At 37.4% G+C, this 20,413-nt stretch overlaps 1 protein-coding gene and 1 long non-coding RNA gene across 7 annotated transcripts in view, besides 2 other annotated features; one reads left to right on the top strand and one right to left on the bottom strand.

Moving 5' to 3' along the window:
* The window catches only part of LOC101928816 (uncharacterized), a 71,871-nt gene extending 58,673 nt beyond the window's left edge, over positions 1–13,198 (top strand). Inside the window, exon 4 of the long non-coding RNA XR_427235.4 lies at positions 11,268–13,198. This is a non-coding gene — a long non-coding RNA (uncharacterized LOC101928816). The remainder of the gene's footprint in view (positions 1–11,267) is intronic.
* The window catches only part of SP100 (SP100 nuclear antigen), a 129,406-nt gene that overhangs the window by 90,974 nt on the left and 18,019 nt on the right, over positions 1–20,413 (bottom strand). For 5 of the 6 annotated variants that reach the window (NM_001080391.2, NM_003113.4, NM_001206701.2 and 2 more), the window contains 6 exons: positions 11,534–11,696; positions 10,287–10,455; positions 7,731–7,814; positions 5,483–5,545; positions 4,923–5,072; positions 4,378–4,461 (listed from right to left, as the gene is read on the bottom strand). In NM_001080391.2, coding sequence (NP_001073860.1) covers positions 4,378–4,461; positions 4,923–5,072; positions 5,483–5,545; positions 7,731–7,814; positions 10,287–10,455; positions 11,534–11,696 — 713 coding nt within the window. Of the gene's footprint in view, positions 1–4,377; positions 4,462–4,922; positions 5,073–5,482; positions 5,546–7,730; positions 7,815–10,286; positions 10,456–11,533; positions 11,697–14,075; positions 14,158–20,413 lie in introns of all 6 variants that reach the window. The other variant, NM_001206704.2, reaches the window with a different exon arrangement.
* Positions 6,424–6,693: an enhancer, noted in NCBI's record as "active region_17224". NCBI's record gives its function as "activates an Ori minimal core promoter by ATAC-STARR-seq in GM12878 lymphoblastoid cells {active_cell/tissue: GM12878}" and the evidence as "EXISTENCE:reporter gene assay evidence [ECO:0000049][PMID:35858748]".
* Positions 14,900–14,949: an enhancer, noted in NCBI's record as "active region_17223". NCBI's record gives its function as "activates an Ori minimal core promoter by ATAC-STARR-seq in GM12878 lymphoblastoid cells {active_cell/tissue: GM12878}" and the evidence as "EXISTENCE:reporter gene assay evidence [ECO:0000049][PMID:35858748]".

The following is a 20,413-nucleotide window of genomic DNA, read 5'->3' as shown; positions in this document are numbered from 1 at the left end:
AATGATATGAAATTAGAAATCAATAACGAGGAATTTTGAAAAATTTGCAAATACATGGAAATTAAGTACACTCCCAAATAACCAATGGGTCAATGAAGAAATTAAAGGGAAAAAATTTTTTAAATCTTGAGACAAATGAAGATAGAAATGTAACATATCAAAACTTATGGGATATAGCAAAAGCAGTTACAAGAGGGGAAGTTTATAGCAATAAACACAAGAATACATAAAGAAAGAAGAAAGATCTCAAACAACCTAATGTTACACCTCAAGAAACCAGACAAAGAAGAAAAACTAAGGCAAAAATTAGCAGAAAGAAGGAAACAATAAATATCAGATCAGAAATAAATGAGTTCAAAACTAGAAAAAAATGAGATCAACAAAACAAAGCACTGGCTTTTTGAAAAAATAAACAAAATTGAGAAAGCTTTAGCTAGACTAAGAAAAAAGAGAAAACACTCAAATGAATAAAATCAGAAATGAAAGAGGAGACACTACCTTTCTCATACCACATATATACAAAGAATCATAAGACACTGCTATAAACAATTTAATGCCAACAAATTGGATAACCTAGAAGAAATGGATAAATTCCTAAACACACACAGCCTACCAAGACTGAATAACAAAGAAACAGGAAAATCTGAACAGACCAATAATGAGTAAGATTTAATCCATAATAAAATACCACCCACCAAACAAAAGTTCAGGACCAGATGGTTTCACTGTTGAATTCTACCAAATATTTAAGGAACAAATAGCAATCTTTTTCAAACTCTTCTTAAAAATTGAATAAGAGGGACTACTTCCAAACTCATTTTATGAAGCCAGCATTACCCTGATACCAAAGCTAGACATGAACACTACAAGAAAAGAAAATTATAGGCCACTATCCTTGATAAACGTATATGAAAAATCCTCAATAAAATACTATCAAATTCAGTAGCACATTAAACACCATGATCAAATAAGATTTATCACTGGGATGCAAGAATGGTTTAACATATACATATCTAAAGGGTCATACACCACATTAATAGAATGAAGGACAAAAACCATATGATCATCTCAATAGATGTAGGAAAAGCATTTGACAAAATTCAACATTTTTTCATGATAAAAACTCTCAGCAAAATAGATATAGAAGAAATGTATCTCAGGACAATAGTGGCCATACATGACAAGCCCACAGCTAGTACCATACTTAATGACAAAAAACTGAAAGATTTCCCTCTAAGGTTAGAAACAAGAGTAGGATGCTGATATGGTCTTGCTGTGTCCCCACCCAAACTCATCTTGAATTGTAGTTCCCATAACCCCCACATGTCATGGGAAGGACTTAGTGGGAGGTAATTGAGTCATGGGGGCAGTTACCTCAATGCTGTTCTCACAACAGTGAGTGAGTTCTCACAAGATCTGATGGTTTTATAAGGAACTTGTCCCCCCTTTGCACTGTACTTCTCCTTGCTGCTGCCATGTAAAGAAGGACGTGTTTGCTTCCCCTTTTCTGCCATGATCGTAAGTTTCCTGAGGCCTCTCCAGCCATGCTGAACTCTTGAGTCAATTAAACCCCTTTCCTTTATAAATTATCCAGTCTTTTATTAGCAGTGTGAGGATGGACCAATACAGATTGCCCATTCTCACTTCTATTCAACATGTTACTGCAAGTCCTAGCCAGAACAATTAGGCAGGCAAAAGAAATAAAAGGCATTCAAATTGGAAAGGAAGAAGTTTTAAATTGTCCTTATTTGCAGATGACCTGATCTTATATATACAAAATCCCGAAGACTCCACCAAAAAAAAAAAAAAAAAAACTGCTAGAACTAATAAACAAATTCAGTAAAGTGGCAGGATACAAACGCAACATACAAAAATCAGTTGCATTTCTATGCACTAACAATAAACTCTCTGAAAAACATATCAAGAAAACAATCCAATTTACAATAACTGCAACAAAATACTTAAGAATAAATTTAACTAAGGAGGTGAAATATGCACACACTGAAAATGCTAAGGCATTGATGAAAGAAACTGAAGAAGAAAGAAATGAAAAGATACCCCATGTTCATGGATTGGAGGAATTAATATTGTTAAAATGTCCAGACAACTCGAAGTCCTCTAAAGATTCAGTGCAATACCTATAAAAATTCCAATGGCGGCCAGGTGCAGTGGCTCACGCCTGTAATCCCAGCATCTAGGAGTTTGAGGTGGGTGGATCGCCTGAGGTCAGGAGTTCAAGACCAGCCCGACCAACATGGTGAAACCTTGTCTCTACTAAATACAAAAAATTAGCTGGGCGTGGTGGAGTATGCCTGTAATCCCAGCTACTCAGGAGGCTGAGGCAGGATAATTACTTGAATCTGTGAGGTAGAGGTTGCAGTGAGCTGAGATTGCACCATTACACTCCAGCCTGGGCAACAAGAGCAAAACTCCATCTCAAAAAAAAAAAAAATTCAAATGGCATTTTTGAGAAATAGAAAAACAATTTAAAAATTTGTGTGGAGGCACAAAAGACTCCAACTAGCCAAAGGAATTTTAAACAAAAAGAACAAAGCTGAAAGCATCACACTACCTGATTCAATATATACAGCAAAGCTATGTTAATCAAAAGAGCATGGTGCTTGCATAAAATAGACATGTAGAAAAATGGAACAAAATAGAGAGCTTGGATCCATGCATTTATGGTCAATTGATTTTCAACAAAGGTGCCAAGAATATGCAATGGGTAAAGGATATCTATCTCTTTAATAAATGGTGTTGGGACAACTGGATATCCACATGCAGAAGAATGAAATTTGACCCCATCTCATGCCATATTAAAAAATTAACTCAAAATGGACTAAATACTGAAATTTAATACCCAAGGTTGTAAAACTACTAGAAGAAAATATAGAGGAAAAGCTTCACGACATTGGTCTGAGCAAATATTTTTTGGGTATAACACCAGAAGCACAATCACAAAAGCAAAAAGAACTGGGATTACATCAAACTAAAAAGCTTCTGCATAGGCAAGGAAACAATCAACAGAGTGAAGAGACAACCTACAGAATGGGAAAAAATATTTGCAAACCATGTGTCTGATAAGGATTATTATCCAAAATACATAAGGAGCTCAAACAACTCAATATTAAATACAAACAAACAAACAAACAGATTTTTAAATGGGCAAAGGACCTGAATAAACATTTCTTAAGGGAACACATGCAAATGGCTAACAGGTATGTGAAAAAATGCCCTGCCTCGGATATCATCAAGAAAATGCAAACTAAAACCACAATGAACATCACCACATACTGGTTAGAATGGTTATTATCAAAAAGACTAAAGATAACAAATGTTGGTGAGGATGTGCAGAAAAGGGAACCTTTGTACACTGTTGGTGGGAATGTAAATTGCTACAATCACTAAGAAAAACAGTATGGAGTGTCCTCAAATAAATAAAAAGTAGAACTACCCATACAATCCATGAATTTCGCTACTGAATATATATTCGAAGGATATGAAATCAGTACAGATGCTCCTAGAGTTACGATGGGACTACATTTCCATAAACCTACCATAAATTGAACACATCATAAGTCAAAAATGCATTTAATACTTCAATAAACCCATTGTAAAGTTGAAAATCATATGTCTAACCATCATAAATCAGGGACCATCTGTATATGGAAGAGATATCTGCTCTCCCATGTTCATTGCAGCAGTATTCACAATAGCCAAGATACAGAAACAACCTAAGTACCCATCAGTGGGTGAATGGATAAAGAAAATATATACACAATGAAATACATCTACACACTGAAATACTATCTAGCCTTTGAAAAGGAAGAAATCCTGTTATTTGCAACAACAACCATGAACCTGGAGGATATTATGTTATGTAAAATAAGACAGGCATGGAAAGACATATATGACATCTCACTTATATGTAGAGTGTAAAAAAGATGAATTTATAGAAGTTGAGAGTATATGGTGGTAACAGAGGCTGGGGATATGAGGAAGAGGACTGGGGAGATGTTGGTCAAAGGATACAAAATTTTAGTTAAATAAGAGAAATACATTAAGAGATCTTTTATACAACACGATTAATATAGTTAATAATGTATTCTTAAAAATTACTGAGAGAATAGGTTTTGTGTTATCACCACAAAAATGATAAGTACGTGAGGTAATATTTATGCTAATTAGCTCTAATTAGCCTTTTCACAATGTGTACATATTTCAAAACAACATGTAATGATAAATACATCCAGCTTTTAATCTGGTAATTTTAAAAAGTGGTTACGATGGTAAAACAACAACCAACCAACCAACCAACCAAATGTATAGCATCTGAATAAGAAAGGAAAGAAAATAGGCAAGGTAAGCAATAATTACTTTCTTCATCACAGGGCAACGGGCAGGGCATCTCCCTTCCAGCATCCCCATTATTCACTTGGACAGCAATTTGTTCGCAGGACTCTGGAGATAAACGAGATCACAGCTGAGATCCAGTAGAGCCTTGCTCTGTCCTGTTTCCATTTGGTTAGACCTCACCCTGCTTCTCCTTTCTTCTCCTGTTTCTACTTATACCCCTGTCTGCATATATTGCTGCGTGAAGGTGTTCGTGCTTCATTGATTCCTGTCCAATCTCTCTCTTACTTTCTCCTTTTGCCTTTTGTTTGTCTCTCTTCTTTGGTGAGACTCTGCAACTCTTCCCCTTTCTCTCTCAGTTTTTTGCTTCTAGCTTTCTTCCTCCAGGTCTTTGTCATCAGTATGTCAGTGTATCAGGCTCATCTGTATAACAGGCCCCCTCTGTGTCTATGTGATTTTCCCCTGCTTGTTAAACAGGTGTCTCCTTGTATTGTGCATTAGACTCTTCCTCTGCCACCAGCCAGGGCCCCTTGGCTCCTCCCCATTCATGCCAACCCAGTCAGTCTTACCTGTTGGCTCAGCCTTTTGAGCACATTGTTCATTTGTTTGTTGGCTTCCTAGCGAATCATCTTTGTCACTGGTTGTATCTTTTCTCTTTGCATTTATCTGTTCTGTTTCACAGGGGTGCTCTGAGAGTCCATTTTCAGGTGGGGTTGTACCTAAACCATGGTTTGATTCACAGGTATTTTATTTGCCCTCTGCTGCCTGTCACTCCCCTCCAACCACTACAGCACGGGCCACTGATGGACGTAAGGTCAAGGCACCAAGGCAACAGCCAGATTCAAGCAGATGCAGGCAGAAAATGGTGAAGCAGGCACATGGGTAAAACGACCAGGCTCAGCGGCAGCAGGAACCAGCAGCAAGTGTGATTAAGGGGTGTGGGAGGAAGAAACCCTCCTAGGCAACCTAGAGGATAAGGACTTGTTATTTAAATCCCAGAAATGGAAAAACTGTAGATGTAAAACCTGAAAATTCTGGACAATCATTAACACAAAGAGGCAACCCCACAGCACATTCCAGAAAGGGGCAAGAATAGCAGAGGCTCAAAGAGTAGTAAACAGGAACAAACCAGCATGAGATGGGGAACCCGAAGGTGGCCAAGTCAGGCTTCGAAAAGAGTTTTCACCAGTTCCTGGCAGGAAGAAATTAGAAGTTTATTTCAGAAATCGAGGTATGGATTTTGCCATTCTCCCCTAATCCCTTTTTGGTCTCTGTAACGTAGGAGTTAAAGACCCCTTCTAGGTCTCAATGCAAAGGCCACCTGGAGCTGGCAGATGCTACCTAATTACTGAAGTCAGACTCCAGCCTTGAGAGTAGGGGACTGGGTCAGCTGCACCCCTGGATGACAGGGGCCTTGGCCAGACAACTCTGCTGCGTGTCCTCTGTGAGACACTCTGGTAAGTGATGATGGCAGAGTGATCCTGCCTTTGTCCCCAGAGCTACCCTGCCCAGGGCCCTTAGCTCAGTTTCTTTGAAGTCCTGGTTGCCTCATGCCCACCCCCTTTCACACAACACCCTCCCTCTCCACATCTGTTCATGCTTTCTCATTGGCTTTTCCATGAGGACTCAGTGTCTGAGTAGCCTCTACTTCCTCCAGCTCTTGGTATTCTTTTTTTCTGGATCTTTTTGTCTGCAAATATTTCCTCATTTTTGTTTCATTTTTCTGTTTTTATTTTTTTAGATTGCCTGGATAGCACAGGGTTAGGAATGCAGGCTCTGGGGTAGAACATCTGGGTTTTTCCTTATTCATCTGACCCTATGTAAACTCCATTTGTGGTATCTCTGGATTTCAGTTACCTTATCTGCAAAATAGGCATATAAGTAATATTAATCTCCAATGGCTGTCATGAGCATTAAACCAACCGCCACAGAGTAGATGTTCAATCAAAGTGAGCTGTTAATGACAAGGTTATTTTTGTTGTCTTTTACCCCTTTTCACGGTTTCATTTCCCTTCCTTTGTCCTCTAGGTACTTACATCCTCTTCCCATGTGCATCACTTCCTTTCTGAGTCTCTCTACATGACCGCCTTTCTCTTTGAATATTCCTGCTCTTGAACAACATCCTCACATTTAAATTTGTCCCCTCTTCTGCCATCACCAAGTTTCTCCCGTGATATAAGAAATATACATTTCAGTCTTAATTCCCTGCTCCTGGCCAGAGCTCCTAAAACCCTAAAACATCTTAAGTCATAACAAGTGAAAAGAGCACTTTCTGTTATTCATAACAACCCCTTTTCGACCACACCTGGGTTTATGTTAATGAGGTAACTTTTGGAAAGCCCCTAAGGATTGGGGTGTGGTTGCCAGGGGAGCTGAACATGAGATTAGAGGGGTGGAACTTTCAGCTCCACCTCTTGACCTCCAGGGAGGGGAGAGGAGGGATGGAGGTTAACTTAATAATCAGGTGCCAATGATTTAATCAATCCAGGCTGTATAATGGAATGTCCATAAAGAACCCTAAGTGACTGGGTTCAGAAATCTTCTGGGTTGGCAAACACATGGAAGTGCCAGGAGAGTCGTGTCCCAGAGAGGGCAGAAGCTCTGTGCCCTTCCCCACGCTTTGCCCTATGCATTTCTTCCACTTGGCTCTTCTTGAGTTGTATCCTTTATAATAAATGTCAAATATAAGTCAACATTTCCATGAGATCTGTGTGATCTACTAGGAAAGTATGAAAGCCAATGAAGGGCTTGCGGGAACCTCCAATTTACAGGCACAGGCCACAACCTGAGACTTGCAACTGGCATCTGAAGTGGGGGGCATTCTTATGGGAATGAGCCCTTAACCTGCGGAGTCCGTGCCAAGTCTGGGCAATTAGTGCCAGAATTCAATTAAATTATAAGATATCAGATGGTATCTACAGAGAATTGGAGAACTGACTGATGTGGGGAGATCACCGACATGTTTGGTGTCAGAAGTGTTGTGAATATGACAGTACAGGTAAAACAGGAGCCTTTCTTTCCCCAGGGGTCTCCTCTTTGATGTTGACCACGGGCCACGGGCTGTGGTTCTTAACCCTTTGCAACTTCACACTGATCCCCTACAGGGACCTTTCTAAATTACAATTACTTCTAGGTAGTCGGCATCTGTAAATCTGGCCTACTGACACGCTTGGTTCTGATTCCCTCATGGTTATTGAGCCAACTATGCCTTGTCATGGCCACTTCTCCAGGACCCTGCACCTGGTTAGAAGCTCATATAACTCTCTCCTTGACTTCTCCATAGTCCTTCCATATGTCTTCCCTGATTCACAATCTCCACTCAGAACCTTGGATCCCTAACCTCTCTTAGAAAAAAGCTTTTATTCTGTCATTTTTACCTTGTTCAAGACTTAGTTGGAGGCCAGACCTCTCCTCCCTCTCTTCTTCTTCACTTTCTTGGAGAGGCAATTTGTCATGGATTACTGAAGAGTGGGAGAGAGAAGAAGCAATTAGAGATCTACAGGGACCAGGGACAATGTCTGGAAATCATGCTTTTAGGAATTTCCAGCCCTTGGGTGACTCAGAGCTCAGAGGGTTCCACATGACCTAAAGTTCTCCCGTCATCCCCTGGGACAGAGAAGAGAAGACCCCAACAGTGAAGGCTTTATTGTCCTACACAAAAAGGAGACATTCAAGATTTAAGGATAAAGGAGTAATGGAAACATTGTGAGCTGTGTTACCCTCAAAATTGTCAGATGGCAGGGTAGGCATATATCAAGTGTAAGGAAGAAACTGGGGAATTCCCTGGGGAGAAGGTCTCAAGTCCTAGAGAGATTCCACTTTTTTATAATCAGCCAGGTGCAGTGGCTCACACCTGTAATCACAGAAAATCAGCCACGTGCAGTGGCTCACACCTGTAATCACAGCACTTTGGGAGGCCGATGCAGGAGGATTGCTTGAGCCCAGGATTTTGAGACCAGCCTGGGCCACATAGCTGGACCTCATCTTTGAAAAGAAAAATAAAATTAGCTGGATGTGGTGTTGCACACCTATGGTCCCAGCTACTCAAGAGGCTGAGGGGGGAGGATCACTAGAGCCCAGGAGGCTGGGGCTGCAGTGAGCTGAGATTATGCCACTGCACTCCAGCCTGGGCAACAGATTGGAACTGTCTCAAAAAACATAAATAAATAAAAAATAAATGAGAAAAACCTCAACATCTTTAAAGATGAGGCTAGAAACAGGAGAATGTTGTCTTAATTGGGTCAGGGAGGATGAACAGTTCTCAAATAAACATAACAGAGGACACAGGGGCAGCTTGTGTGGACTTCAGGGTCCGAGAGTCAGCAGCATCTCCCTGATGGTGGGTGGGCTTGCTGTGCTGGGTGGGGCGGTGGGTGGTGCTGTCCCAGGTCAGTGACAGTGAGCCTCAGGGCAGGTCACCCAAGCACAAGGAGCGCCAGAAACTAAGACGTGAGTTGTGGGCACTGGAGCTAGGAAGGGGGATCCCTGCAGTCCATGGAGAGGAACAGAGCCCCTGAGAATGTGGGCAGTAAAGGTAGCACCATTCCCTTCATCCCCGCAGCCTGGACCATCCTGCTTACAAACATAACATTGACTCAAAATTTGTGCCCAGGTATTTGATTTCCTTTTATTCCTTTTCTGACTTGAATTTTTGCTATAGAAATTATTTTATTATTAATTTAGATAAGGTTAGTATTGACACAAATCAATAAGCCATATACAACTACTGCTTACACTTCTTTCCTTGTTTATAAACCTGCAGTATTTCTTGATTGCCTAGCGAGTAAACTTCAAATTCCTTAACTTTAAATTCCAGGCCTTTCAATATCTTCCTCCAATTGATCTAAGTCAACTTGTATACTGCTTCTCACTCTCAGATTTAGCCAAATCTAATTTGCCCTGTTTTGCAGACATGTTTTCACACTTTTATTCCAGTTCCCATAGCATCCACCATCTTCAGAGCATGTGCCCATTTTTCTTGTGATGTCTCTATCTCTTATTTGGAGAACTGGGTTGAGATTAAACTGTGTGGGAATAAAAAGTTTTCCAGGCAAGTAAAAAAAATTGGAGGACGTCTTTAACGTGTACCATTTTAATAGTATAAATTATGCATTCTCAGGAAAAAGGTCAAGAATGAAACCTTTAGTTTGGTATAGCACCAAAAATAGTCCCTGGCAGAGTAATCAGTTTTGTCAATCTTTGTTTCACCCCTTGTGGATAAAGGGTTAGCAAAACCACTTCTGCTTCACTGAAGGCAAACTTGACCCAGGGTTAACTTTCTTGCTCATATTCTGGAAACCTAATAAAGGTAGCCTTTTTTGCAGTGTTACTAGGCAAACACTGAGGTTAGAAATGACCCATGACAGGTTGACTGGGACTATATATGGACAATAAATACCTGTGGGGAAGCCATAGTTGTGGTCTTCCTTCAATTGATAACTCTTGTAACTCAGCTTGCCTCTTAGGGCATCCTGAAAGCTGTGACTGTGGAGTTGTTACAAGAGACATACACTCCCACAGGCATGTGGTGCTGAGCCAAGGTGGATCCTGCACCCACAGCTAAGCTGTCACTCAGGGCAGGTAGTAGTCAATTTGGTGGATGCTATGTAGACCACTGCAAGGGCTCCCACTGAAGATAAGAAGCTGCCCTGTTGGGATTCTGTTTCTTATCCTATACTCTTCTAAGTAAATCTGATGCCAGTGTGGCTCTGGTTGTCCTGTGAGTCTAAGTGGCCAGTGAAGCAGACCTCCGGGTACTTGTTTTACCATAGCCATACGCCATGAGCTAAGAGAAGACTCATGGCATGTCTATTTTGTTAACTACTCTATGCCCACTGCCCAACACAACATGTCACTCATGGTAGGAGATCAGTATATACTTATTGAAAAAACTTGGCCCTGGAAATAAAAAGGTAGATAATAAATCTAATTACCATTTTCAAAGCCTTTATAAATGTGAATTAAATCGGGGTATTCCTGCATGTTGACATCGCTGAACAGTGCTTCCAGAACTGGCAGGTTAAATGTCTTCTCCAGTTCACTAAGAACATTGTACACCACTCTCTGTACAGGGACCAGGTTTCTACAAGAATCTTGAGAATCCTTAAAAAATATTGAATGGAGAAAATATAAATAAAGACTTCCAAGTCACAGAAGAGCTCTAGAAAGGAATTCTATGGTTACTGTATTCTAATTTCTCTACGTAGGTATTTTCATGTGAGGTTCTATAATTTTTACTTATTTGTATAGCCAGTAATGAAAGAAGTAAGTCCCTTGTCCTTAAAAATGCCCACTGATGAGCCTGATTGCTTCACCCTCATTTACATTAGATGCAAAAAGGGGAAATTTGGAAGGATAAAAGTGGGCTCAAAGTCCTTTAATAGCCTGATCCATATGTTTTTAGGATAGACGTAGCAGGCAATTGATGAGTGGCTGTTTTGTTGGCTGGACAACCCCTGCTCTTCCCCCAAGACTGATTTGGCCTGAAGGGCCCAAGGAAACCAGGCAACCAGTCTCCCCTTGCTGTGAACTTGGCCACAGAGGAAGCATATTCATAGCCAGAGATGACTCGCTGCTCTGTATCTCCAACAGGGCCTATGGGTGGAATTTACCCATATTCCAAGACTCCAGAAATGCACAAAAAAAAGGAAAGAAAAAGAAAACAAATGTGTTGGAGAAAGAATAACAAGCATCTACCTCCAAATTTGTCCTCTCTAGACATCAATTCCCTGTGGGTTTTAATGTTCCCAGATCTAGGCATTTTAAATTGATGTTAACTGGAAGAAAATGCTGTGTCAACTGCTATTTCAAGTAAATCACTTCATTAAAATTATTTTTAAGTTTTAGTTTATGTTATAGTGTACGAATTCTACAAAACATTGTACATTTATGGAGAACACCTGTTTCCGTTCCAGTTTCTCCAGTACCATTCACTCCAACTCCAGAGGACACCATGGAACACCATTTCCTCGGCTGGAAGTGGGACCATCTCCGGCGACCTCTGCTTCTCCTCTCCTTTTCTACTTTACAGGAGCACTTACAGAAACACTTGAAAAAGTTCCCCACTCATAGGAGACCTGTCAGTTAGCAAATTGTACCCTGAAGTTTTGGTCTAGGATATCAAAGCATAACTTATTTTGGGGCTGCTTTACCAGATTGTGACATAATAAACTTTACTTACTTCAAACATTTTATTTGTGATGAGATCACGATCACGGAGGCCCTCGAGGAATGGAAATGTCTTTTTTATTGCATTTGAAATCTCCACCTTATTTCTTTTGAAGTGCTTGAATACAATGTCATAGAGCAGCCTGTCATCTACACCCTGGTCTTCCGTGAACATCCTAGGGAAAAAGGACACCATGTGAAAATGGTCATCAAGATTCTGAGATGTTTGTGGAGGCTGTAAGAGTTTACATATAAAGGACAAGCTACAAAGAATGAACATATATAAATTAGGTGGTCCTCAGTAGAGGCCAGAATAAATGCAATTGAAGCAACAAAAAAGATGTAATAGAAGAAATGGAGGTTGTGAAAAACTAATATAGAGGACTGAAAAAGTTCTGTCTAAACTGAACAAAGCCATTGTAAAGATACCTTCACCTAACCATATATGGAATATTTTTTGAAATAAAAATTAAATTCCTACAGAATCTAGGTGGAATAAACAGGTCATCCACAGAGAAATGAAAAACAATGGAATAAAAATAAAATCTAACCTTGAATATGCATCTTAATCAACTGAGAGAAAACAAATCTGAGAAAGATGAAAATAACATGTCCTTCTCTAATCTGTAGCTGTTAAGAAAGAAATATAATCCTACATCATTAATTCACAAATAATACAATGCAGTTTAATAATAATAATGAGACCACATTATTGAGAATTTCATGAGAATATGAATGATATCTCCTAGAATGCCTGATTCTACTTTGTATTAATATCAATCTCTCTGTATTATTGCTATATATGGTGAATCATTTTAGGCATCTGAATTTCAGAAATTGTTGCCGTTTCCTATGAAAGTAATTTTAAAGTTGAATCTCTAATTCTGGTTCTTAGTTGATTACTTTATTGCTCTGATAATGTTTTAGTCAACATCTCAGTATTTCTTAATATTATGAAAATTTATGAGCCCTTCCTTCCCAACTAGAAGAGAATTATTGGCACTGTCCAGTATCTAACATGAGGCAGGAAACAATAATGTTACATTATTGTTTTGAATTTCTGTAAAAAAAGTTTCTGGTTAAAGATCACTAAAATGATAACAAAGGAATTAGATTCACAATGACAAAGAGAATGGCAGAGGACAATGAGCAGATAAGAGATTTCAAGTAAAATCTTGAAGGTGAAAAGTGGTCAGAAAAGTGCTAGTTGCAATAGCAGATAGGGGATGGATGCTTTCAGAGGTTAGGAATCATGGTGCCCTACAGAATTTGTAAGAAACAATGGAGATTTGAAGGGAGACACAGAGCCAAAAACTGATGTGTTATTTGAGAAATGAACAGAACAGTGTGTGCCCTGCCCGTCAACCCACATCCTGACCATATGCAACCAGGCAGTCTCTCAGGGCAACCACTGCTGTCATTTTTTCCATCGTATCTTAATACTGCCCGCTACTGGATTTTGTATAAATGGGATAAAAGGTATATATGCTTTTGTGTCTGCCTTCTTTTGCTTATCATTCATGTTGATGTGTTGAACAGTAGTTTGTTCATTTTTGTTGTTGAGTGGCATTCCATTGTGTGAATATACCACAATCTGCTTATTCAGTTTTCTGTTCATGGTCATTGGAGTTGATTCCACTTTGAGACTAGTATAAATAAAATTGCTGCTCTTGTACAAGTCTTTTTGTGGCAAGATGTTTTCACTTATCTTGCATAAATATGTAGCAGTGGAATTGCTTGGTCATTGTGTAAGAGTACATTTAACCATTTAAGAACCTGCCAAACTGTTTTTCAAAGACTATCAGAGATAGCCTTTCTAGTTTTAGCCATTCCAGTGTGTGTGATGTGATATGTCATTTTCGTTTTAATTTGTATTTCTTTAATGATAAAATGATGTCAAGCACATTTTCATGTGTTAATTGGCAATTTATTTTTTGTAAAGTGTCTGTTCAAGTCTTTGGCCCATTTATATTATTCAATTTTACTTATTGATGGGTAGGCATTTTTTAAATATATTATGGATAGAAGTGTTTTGTCTGATTTATGTATGGTGAATATTTTCACCCAGTCTGTAGCTTCTCTTTCATTTTCTTAATCATGTCTTTTGATGGGAAGAAATCTGTAATTTTGATGAAATCCAATTTATTTTTTTTTCTTTTATAATTAATGACTTTAGTGTACTATCTAAGAAATATTTGCCTACTCCAAGGTCATGAAAATATTCAAAAAACAATTTACAATATTAGCATGGGTTTATATATGTACTTTCTATGCTATACCATTGATCTATTTGTCTACCCTTATGCTGGTAAGATTTTGCCTTAAATATCATGGCTTAACAAAAGTCTTGAAGTCAATTAGAAAAGATTGGCTTGGATTTTCTAGATTCTTTGCTTTTATACATTATCTTTTCAAATCAGTTTGTCAATTTCTTCAAGAAAAAACTTTAGGACTTTTTTTTGGATTTGAATTGAAGCTACAGATAAATTTGGGGGAGATGACAACAACATTGAGCTTCCAATCTGTTAACATTGTATATCTCTCCATTTACTTACATGTGTTTAATTTTACCCAGCACTGCTTATAGTTTTTAGAAGTCATGTACATCTTTCATTAAATTTATTCCTCTCCAAAAACCTATTGAAATAAAAAATTTAATTTAATTAAATTTAAAAAATAATAAATTTATTCCTAGTTATTTTATTGTTTTGGTGTTACTTTAAATGATAATGCTTTTCAAATTCCTTATTACTATTATATGAAAATATAATTGGTTTGAAACATATTAACCATGAATTTATGGCATTGCTAAATTCATGTAGTATTTCTAGTAAATTATTTATAGATTTCCTTTGTATTTTAAAGAAAATAATTATATCATGAACAAATAGACTGACTTACTGTTTCTTTCCAAACAATTATTTCTATTTTTTGGTCTCATTTCACTGGTTAGGAGTTTGAATACAATGTTGAAGAGAAGTGATGAGAGTGGACTTCCTTGCCTTATTTCCAATTTCAAGGAAGAAGCACTTAGCAGCACCATTAAGTGTGATGTTTGCTATACCTTTATACATATTCCTGCGTCTTTCTTTCCTTCCTTCCTTCTTTCCTTTCGAAAAGATTTGAAAATAACTACTGATTGAGTGAAATCAGACCTTATAAAACCTTATGTAACACTGAAAATAAAAATAAAAAGCAGACATAGTTTGCATTTTTAGAGAGATAAAACAAGGGAAACAATGAGTTGTAAAAGATAAAACAGGAAGTCCTAGCCCGAGCAGTCAGACAAAAGAAAGAAATAAAGGGCATCCTAATCGGTAAAGAGGAAGTCAAACTTGAGTCACTGTTCACCAATGATATGATTAGTATCCTAAGATATAGATCTGATAAATGAATTCAGTTAAGTTTCAGGATACAAAATCATAAGTAGCACTGCTATACACCAACAATGATCAAGCTGAGAATCAAATCAAATCCCTTTTACAACAGCTGCAAAAAAATAAATAAATAAAAAATAAACCAAAAAAACAAAGCAAAACAACAACAACAACAACAACAACAAAAATCCAAAAAACCTTAGGATATACCTAACCAAGGAGGTGAAAGATCTCTATGAGGAGAACTACAAAACACTGCTGAAAGAAATCACAGATGCCACAAGCAAATGGAAACACATTCCATGCTCATGGATGGGTAAAATCAATATTGTGAAAATGATCATACTGCCCAAAAGCAATCTACAGATTCAATGCAATTCCCATCAAAACACCATCATCATTATTCACAGAACTAGAAAAAACAATCCTAAAATTCATATGGAATCAAAAAAGGGCCCACATTGCCAAAGCAAGACTAAGCAAAAATTCCAGAATCTATAAATAACTCAAACAAATCAGCAAGAAAAAATTCAGATAATCTTATCAAAAAGTGGGCAAAGGATATGAATAGACAATTCTCAAAAGAAGATATGCAAATGGCCAAGAAATATATGAAAAAATTCTCAACATCACTAATTATCAGGGAAATGCAAATCAAAACCACAATGCGATACCACCTTACTTCTGCAAGAAAGACCATAATTAAAAAATAAAAACATGATAGATGTTGGCGTGGATGTGGTGAAAAGGGAACACTTTTACACTGCTGGTGGGAATGTAAACTATTACAACTGCTGTGGAAAACAGTATAAAGATTCCTTAAAGAACTATCATTTGATCCAGCAATCCCACTACTGGGTCTCTACCTAGAGGAAAATAAGTCATGATATGAAAAAGACATTTGCACACGCGTTTATAGCAGCACAATTAGCAATTGAGAAAATGTGGAACAAGCCTAAATGCCCACTAATCAATGAGTAGATAAAGAAATGTGATATATATATGTATATATACACATATACATGTATACACATATATATATACCATATGTGTGTGTGTGTGTGTGTGTGTGTGTGTGTGTGTGTGTATATATATACACCATGGAGTACTACTCAGCCATAAAAAGGAATGCAATAATGGCGTTCTCAGCATCCTGGATGGAGTTGGAGACCATTATTCTAAGTGAAGCAACTCAGGAATGGAACCAAGTATCGTTATGTTCTCACTTATTAGTGGGAGTTAAGCTATGAGAATGCAAAGGCATAAGAATGATACAATGGACCTTGGGGACTCAGGGGAAAGGGTGGGAGGGGAGTGACAGATAAAAGAATACACATTGAGTTCAGTGTACACTGCTTGGGTGACAGATGCACCAAAATCTCAGAAATCACCACTAATGAACTTATCTATGTAACCAAAACCACCTGTTCCCCCAAAACTACTGAAATGAAATAAAGACAAAATGGAAAAAGTATGAAAAATTATTTAAACAGAATGTAAAAGAAAAATGATATTGAAAGGCAATATTAATAATATTGAAAAAGAATCATCAATATTGATGATATCGATATTGACTGGAATCAAAGAGAATCCAACTAAAGACACAACTAAGAAAAAATGACACAAAAAATGTTGAAATTGAAAATCAGCAAGTTATGGTATGCAACTGTAAATAAAACAAAAAGCAAGACTGTTCCCATTTAATGTCAAATCAAAATTCAAGAAACAAATCATGAGACAAATGTTTTACAGGCATTGAAAAACAATTCACCCCTGTTTTTTGATTCTTTACATATACAAAAATGGACAAAGTATACAGGCTCTGGATAAATTAATGAGTGATTTAATATTTAATCTTGTGACTTAAAAACAGAGAACACGGCTGGGCGCAGTGGCTCATGCCTGTAATCCCAGAGCTTTAGGAGGCTGAGGCGGGCGGATCACGAGGTCAGGAGTTCAAGACCAGCCTGACCAACATAGTGAAATCCCATCTCACTAAAAATACAAAAATTAGCCAGGCATGGTGGTGCATGCCTGTAATCCCAGCTACTCGGGAGGCTGAGGCAGGAGAATTGCTTGAACCTGGGAGGTGGAGGATGCAGTGAGCCTCTGCACTCCAGCCTGGGTGACAGAGCAAGACTCTGTCCCAAACAACAACAACAACAAAACAAAACAAAACAAAAAAAACAAAGAAAAAACAGAGAACACATATTTCTCAATACCCTTGAAATATATATCAATATTCAGCATAATCTTAGCCACAAAAGAAGTCACAAAAAGTTATAATCACTAGAAGTGAAACAGACTTCATATAGAAAATAAATTACTTAAGATTTTAGAAAACAAAAGAAAATGCACTGTGTTGGATCAAAGATGAAATAAAACTTGTAGTTAGAGGTTATTTAGAACCAAGAAGAAAGAGAAAACCAATGACAATGAGATTGAATGAAACAAAAAAATAGTTCAACTTTAGAAAGTCTCTACAATTTTATACCAATAAATAAAAGGAGAAAACGTATTTAAACCTATTCATGAATGGGTTTAAAAGGGAATTTGATAAGTCCTAGCAGTTATTTTTTAAAAATTAAAACTATGAAATAAAAACTAACACAAAATGAAGTCTCTAAAATCAGCAAATGTTGTAGTAAACATTAATGGTGAAGTCATTTAAATAGAAAACAATATGGGGATGTCTACCATTACCACGGTCTTTTACATATATATGTGTGTGTGTGTATACACATATATATGTGTGTGTATACACATATATATGTGTGTGTATACACATATATGCGTGTGTGTATACACTTGTGTGTATACACATATATGCGTGTGTGTATACACATATATGTGTGTGTATACACATATACATATGTGTTCACATATACATATTTTAGAAGCTTTAGCTAATGCAATAGGACATGAAAATAAAATAATTGGTAGGAATACTAAAATAGTGTACAATATGTTCTATAATTATATATGTAGGAAACCTATAGACCTAATAAAATTCATAAGAACTAGAAAAAGAATTTACCAAGGAGTATATATTAGTCCATTTTCACACTGCTATAAAGAACTGCTCGAGACTGGGTAATTTATAAAGGAAAGAGGTTTAATTGACTTACAGTTCAGTGTGGCTGGATAGGCCTCAAGAAACTTACAATCATGGTGGAAGGCGAAGGGGAACCAAGGCACCTTCTTCACAAGGCAGCAGGAAGGAGAAGTGCCAGGTGAAGGCGGAAGAGGCCCTTATACCATCAGATCTCATGAGAACTCACTCATTATCATGAGAACAGAATGGGTGAAATTGCCCCATGATTCAATTACCTCCATCTGGTCTCTCCCTTAACACCTGGAGATTACGGGGATTACAATTCAAGATGAGATTTTGGGTGGGGACACAGCAAAACCATATGAGAGTATGAATAGAAAATAGATATATAAAACTTATAGCTTTTATTTGGAACGACATACATTGAAAAAAATACTCAGACTCAATAGCAAATACAAATGTATGTATTTATAAACATCTGAAAGGTATGAGACTTGTATGAAGAAAACTATAAAAATCTTATTGAAGAAAATTAAATAAGATCTAAATAAACAGAGATTATGAAAGGCCTCCAATTACAAAAAAGGTAGTAGTTTTAAAACATCCATTATTCTGAAATTATTATGTAAGTATAGTGCACTTGCAACCTGGAACCCCATTGAAACTGGATAAAATATTCCTGCATTAGTTTGCTAAGGATAATGGCCTCCAGCTTCATCCATGTCCCTGCAAAGGACATGATCTCATTCCTTTTTTATGGCTGCATAGTATTTCATAGTGTATATGTACCACATTTTCTTTCTCTAGTCTATAATTGATGGCGATTTAGGTTGATTCCATGTTTTTGCTATTGTGAATAGTGCTGACTGCATGTTCTCACTTATAAGTGGGAGCTAAATGATGAGAACACATGGACACAGGAGGAACAATGCACACTTGGGTGTTTCAGAGGGTGGGGGCTGGGAGGAGGGAGAGGATCAGGAAGAAGAGCTAGTGAATGCTTGTCTTAACACCTGTGTGATGGAATGAATCACACAGCGAATCACCATGGCACACTTTTGCCTGTGTAACAAATCTGCATATCCTGCACATGTACCCCCGAACTTAAATAAAAGTTGGAAAAAAAGCTGAATCAAATAATGTAAATATTTAAATGACAGAACAAATATCTGAGTCAGACAAAAAACATTTGAGAAGAGAATAGTTAAAGGAAGATTTCTCTTAATAGGTTAAAATGTTTTTAAAAAGCAATACAGATATAAAAGAGTGTAGAAAAGCATTTTCAATATATATGACAAAGGGTTAATATATCTGATATTAATGGGCAAAGACTACAGTCTATTAATAAAAAGCAACAAATAACTCCTCCAAAATGGACCTGAACAGGCAGCTTAAATAAGAGAAAATGAAAATGTCTAATAAACATATGAATACATAAAAACTAAAATATCAATGAGAAACCATTTCTCACCCATTAGATTGGCAAACACAATTTCATTAGTGACACTATGTCACGAGGGAGAAGATTCAGAAAAACAGACACTTACTCATCCCTGGTGTAAGCATGAATTACTACAGCCTTTTCAGAAAAGATGTGGCAACATCTACTAAATTTTAAGATATACTACAGACTGACCATGCAGATCCACTTTTGGAATCTATCGTATAGAAATAAAAAGACAACATCCATCTTATAAAAACAAGAACTGCAGAACTTTCAATGCTCCCAATTTCTTCATGAGTGAAAGCCAGATCCTTACACTGTTCAAAGGGTCTGAAATGATACATCCTTTGCTCCTCTCCTTTTGCTCATGTCTGTCGGGCCACACTCGCCTCTGCTGTTTCTTGACTACACCAGAGATTCTCTAGCCTTAGGGACTTGATACTGGCTATTTTCTCTACTTAGCATAGACACATATATCTATGTAGTGAACTAACTCCCTTGTCTCTTTTAGATCCTTGCTTCACTATCACCTTCTCAATGAGGCCTGCTTTGACCAACCTATCTAAAAATCACAATCACAATCCCCTTAGCCTGCCCCCACACTCCCAAGCTCCTAATCTGCCTCTATTTTTTTTTCTCATGCCCTTACTACTCCCTAACATGCTAAATGAATTACTTATTTGTGTATTTATTGTTTATCATATTCTTTATTGTCTCTTTTCCCCCAAAAATATATATGCCATGAGGGCAGAGATTTTGTCTGTTTTGTCCACTGATTTTTCTTGAGTATCTGATATATACAAGGTGTTCCATAAATATTTGTTGATTAGATGCTCATAAATGCAAAATTTTTGTTGAAGCATTGTTTTTACCAGCAAAAACCCCTCAACAATAACACATACTCCTCAACCTGAAAACAACCTAATTGTGTATTCAGCTGACTGGTTAAGTACATTATTGTAAATATACACTGTTGAACTATTACATAGCTATTTAATTCTAGTAATTTGGATAGAC

Source organism: Homo sapiens, chromosome 2 (genome assembly GCF_000001405.40).
Source record: "Homo sapiens chromosome 2, GRCh38.p14 Primary Assembly".
NCBI lineage: Eukaryota > Metazoa > Chordata > Mammalia > Primates > Hominidae > Homo > Homo sapiens.
This window is presented reverse-complemented; position numbering and strand designations above follow the sequence as displayed.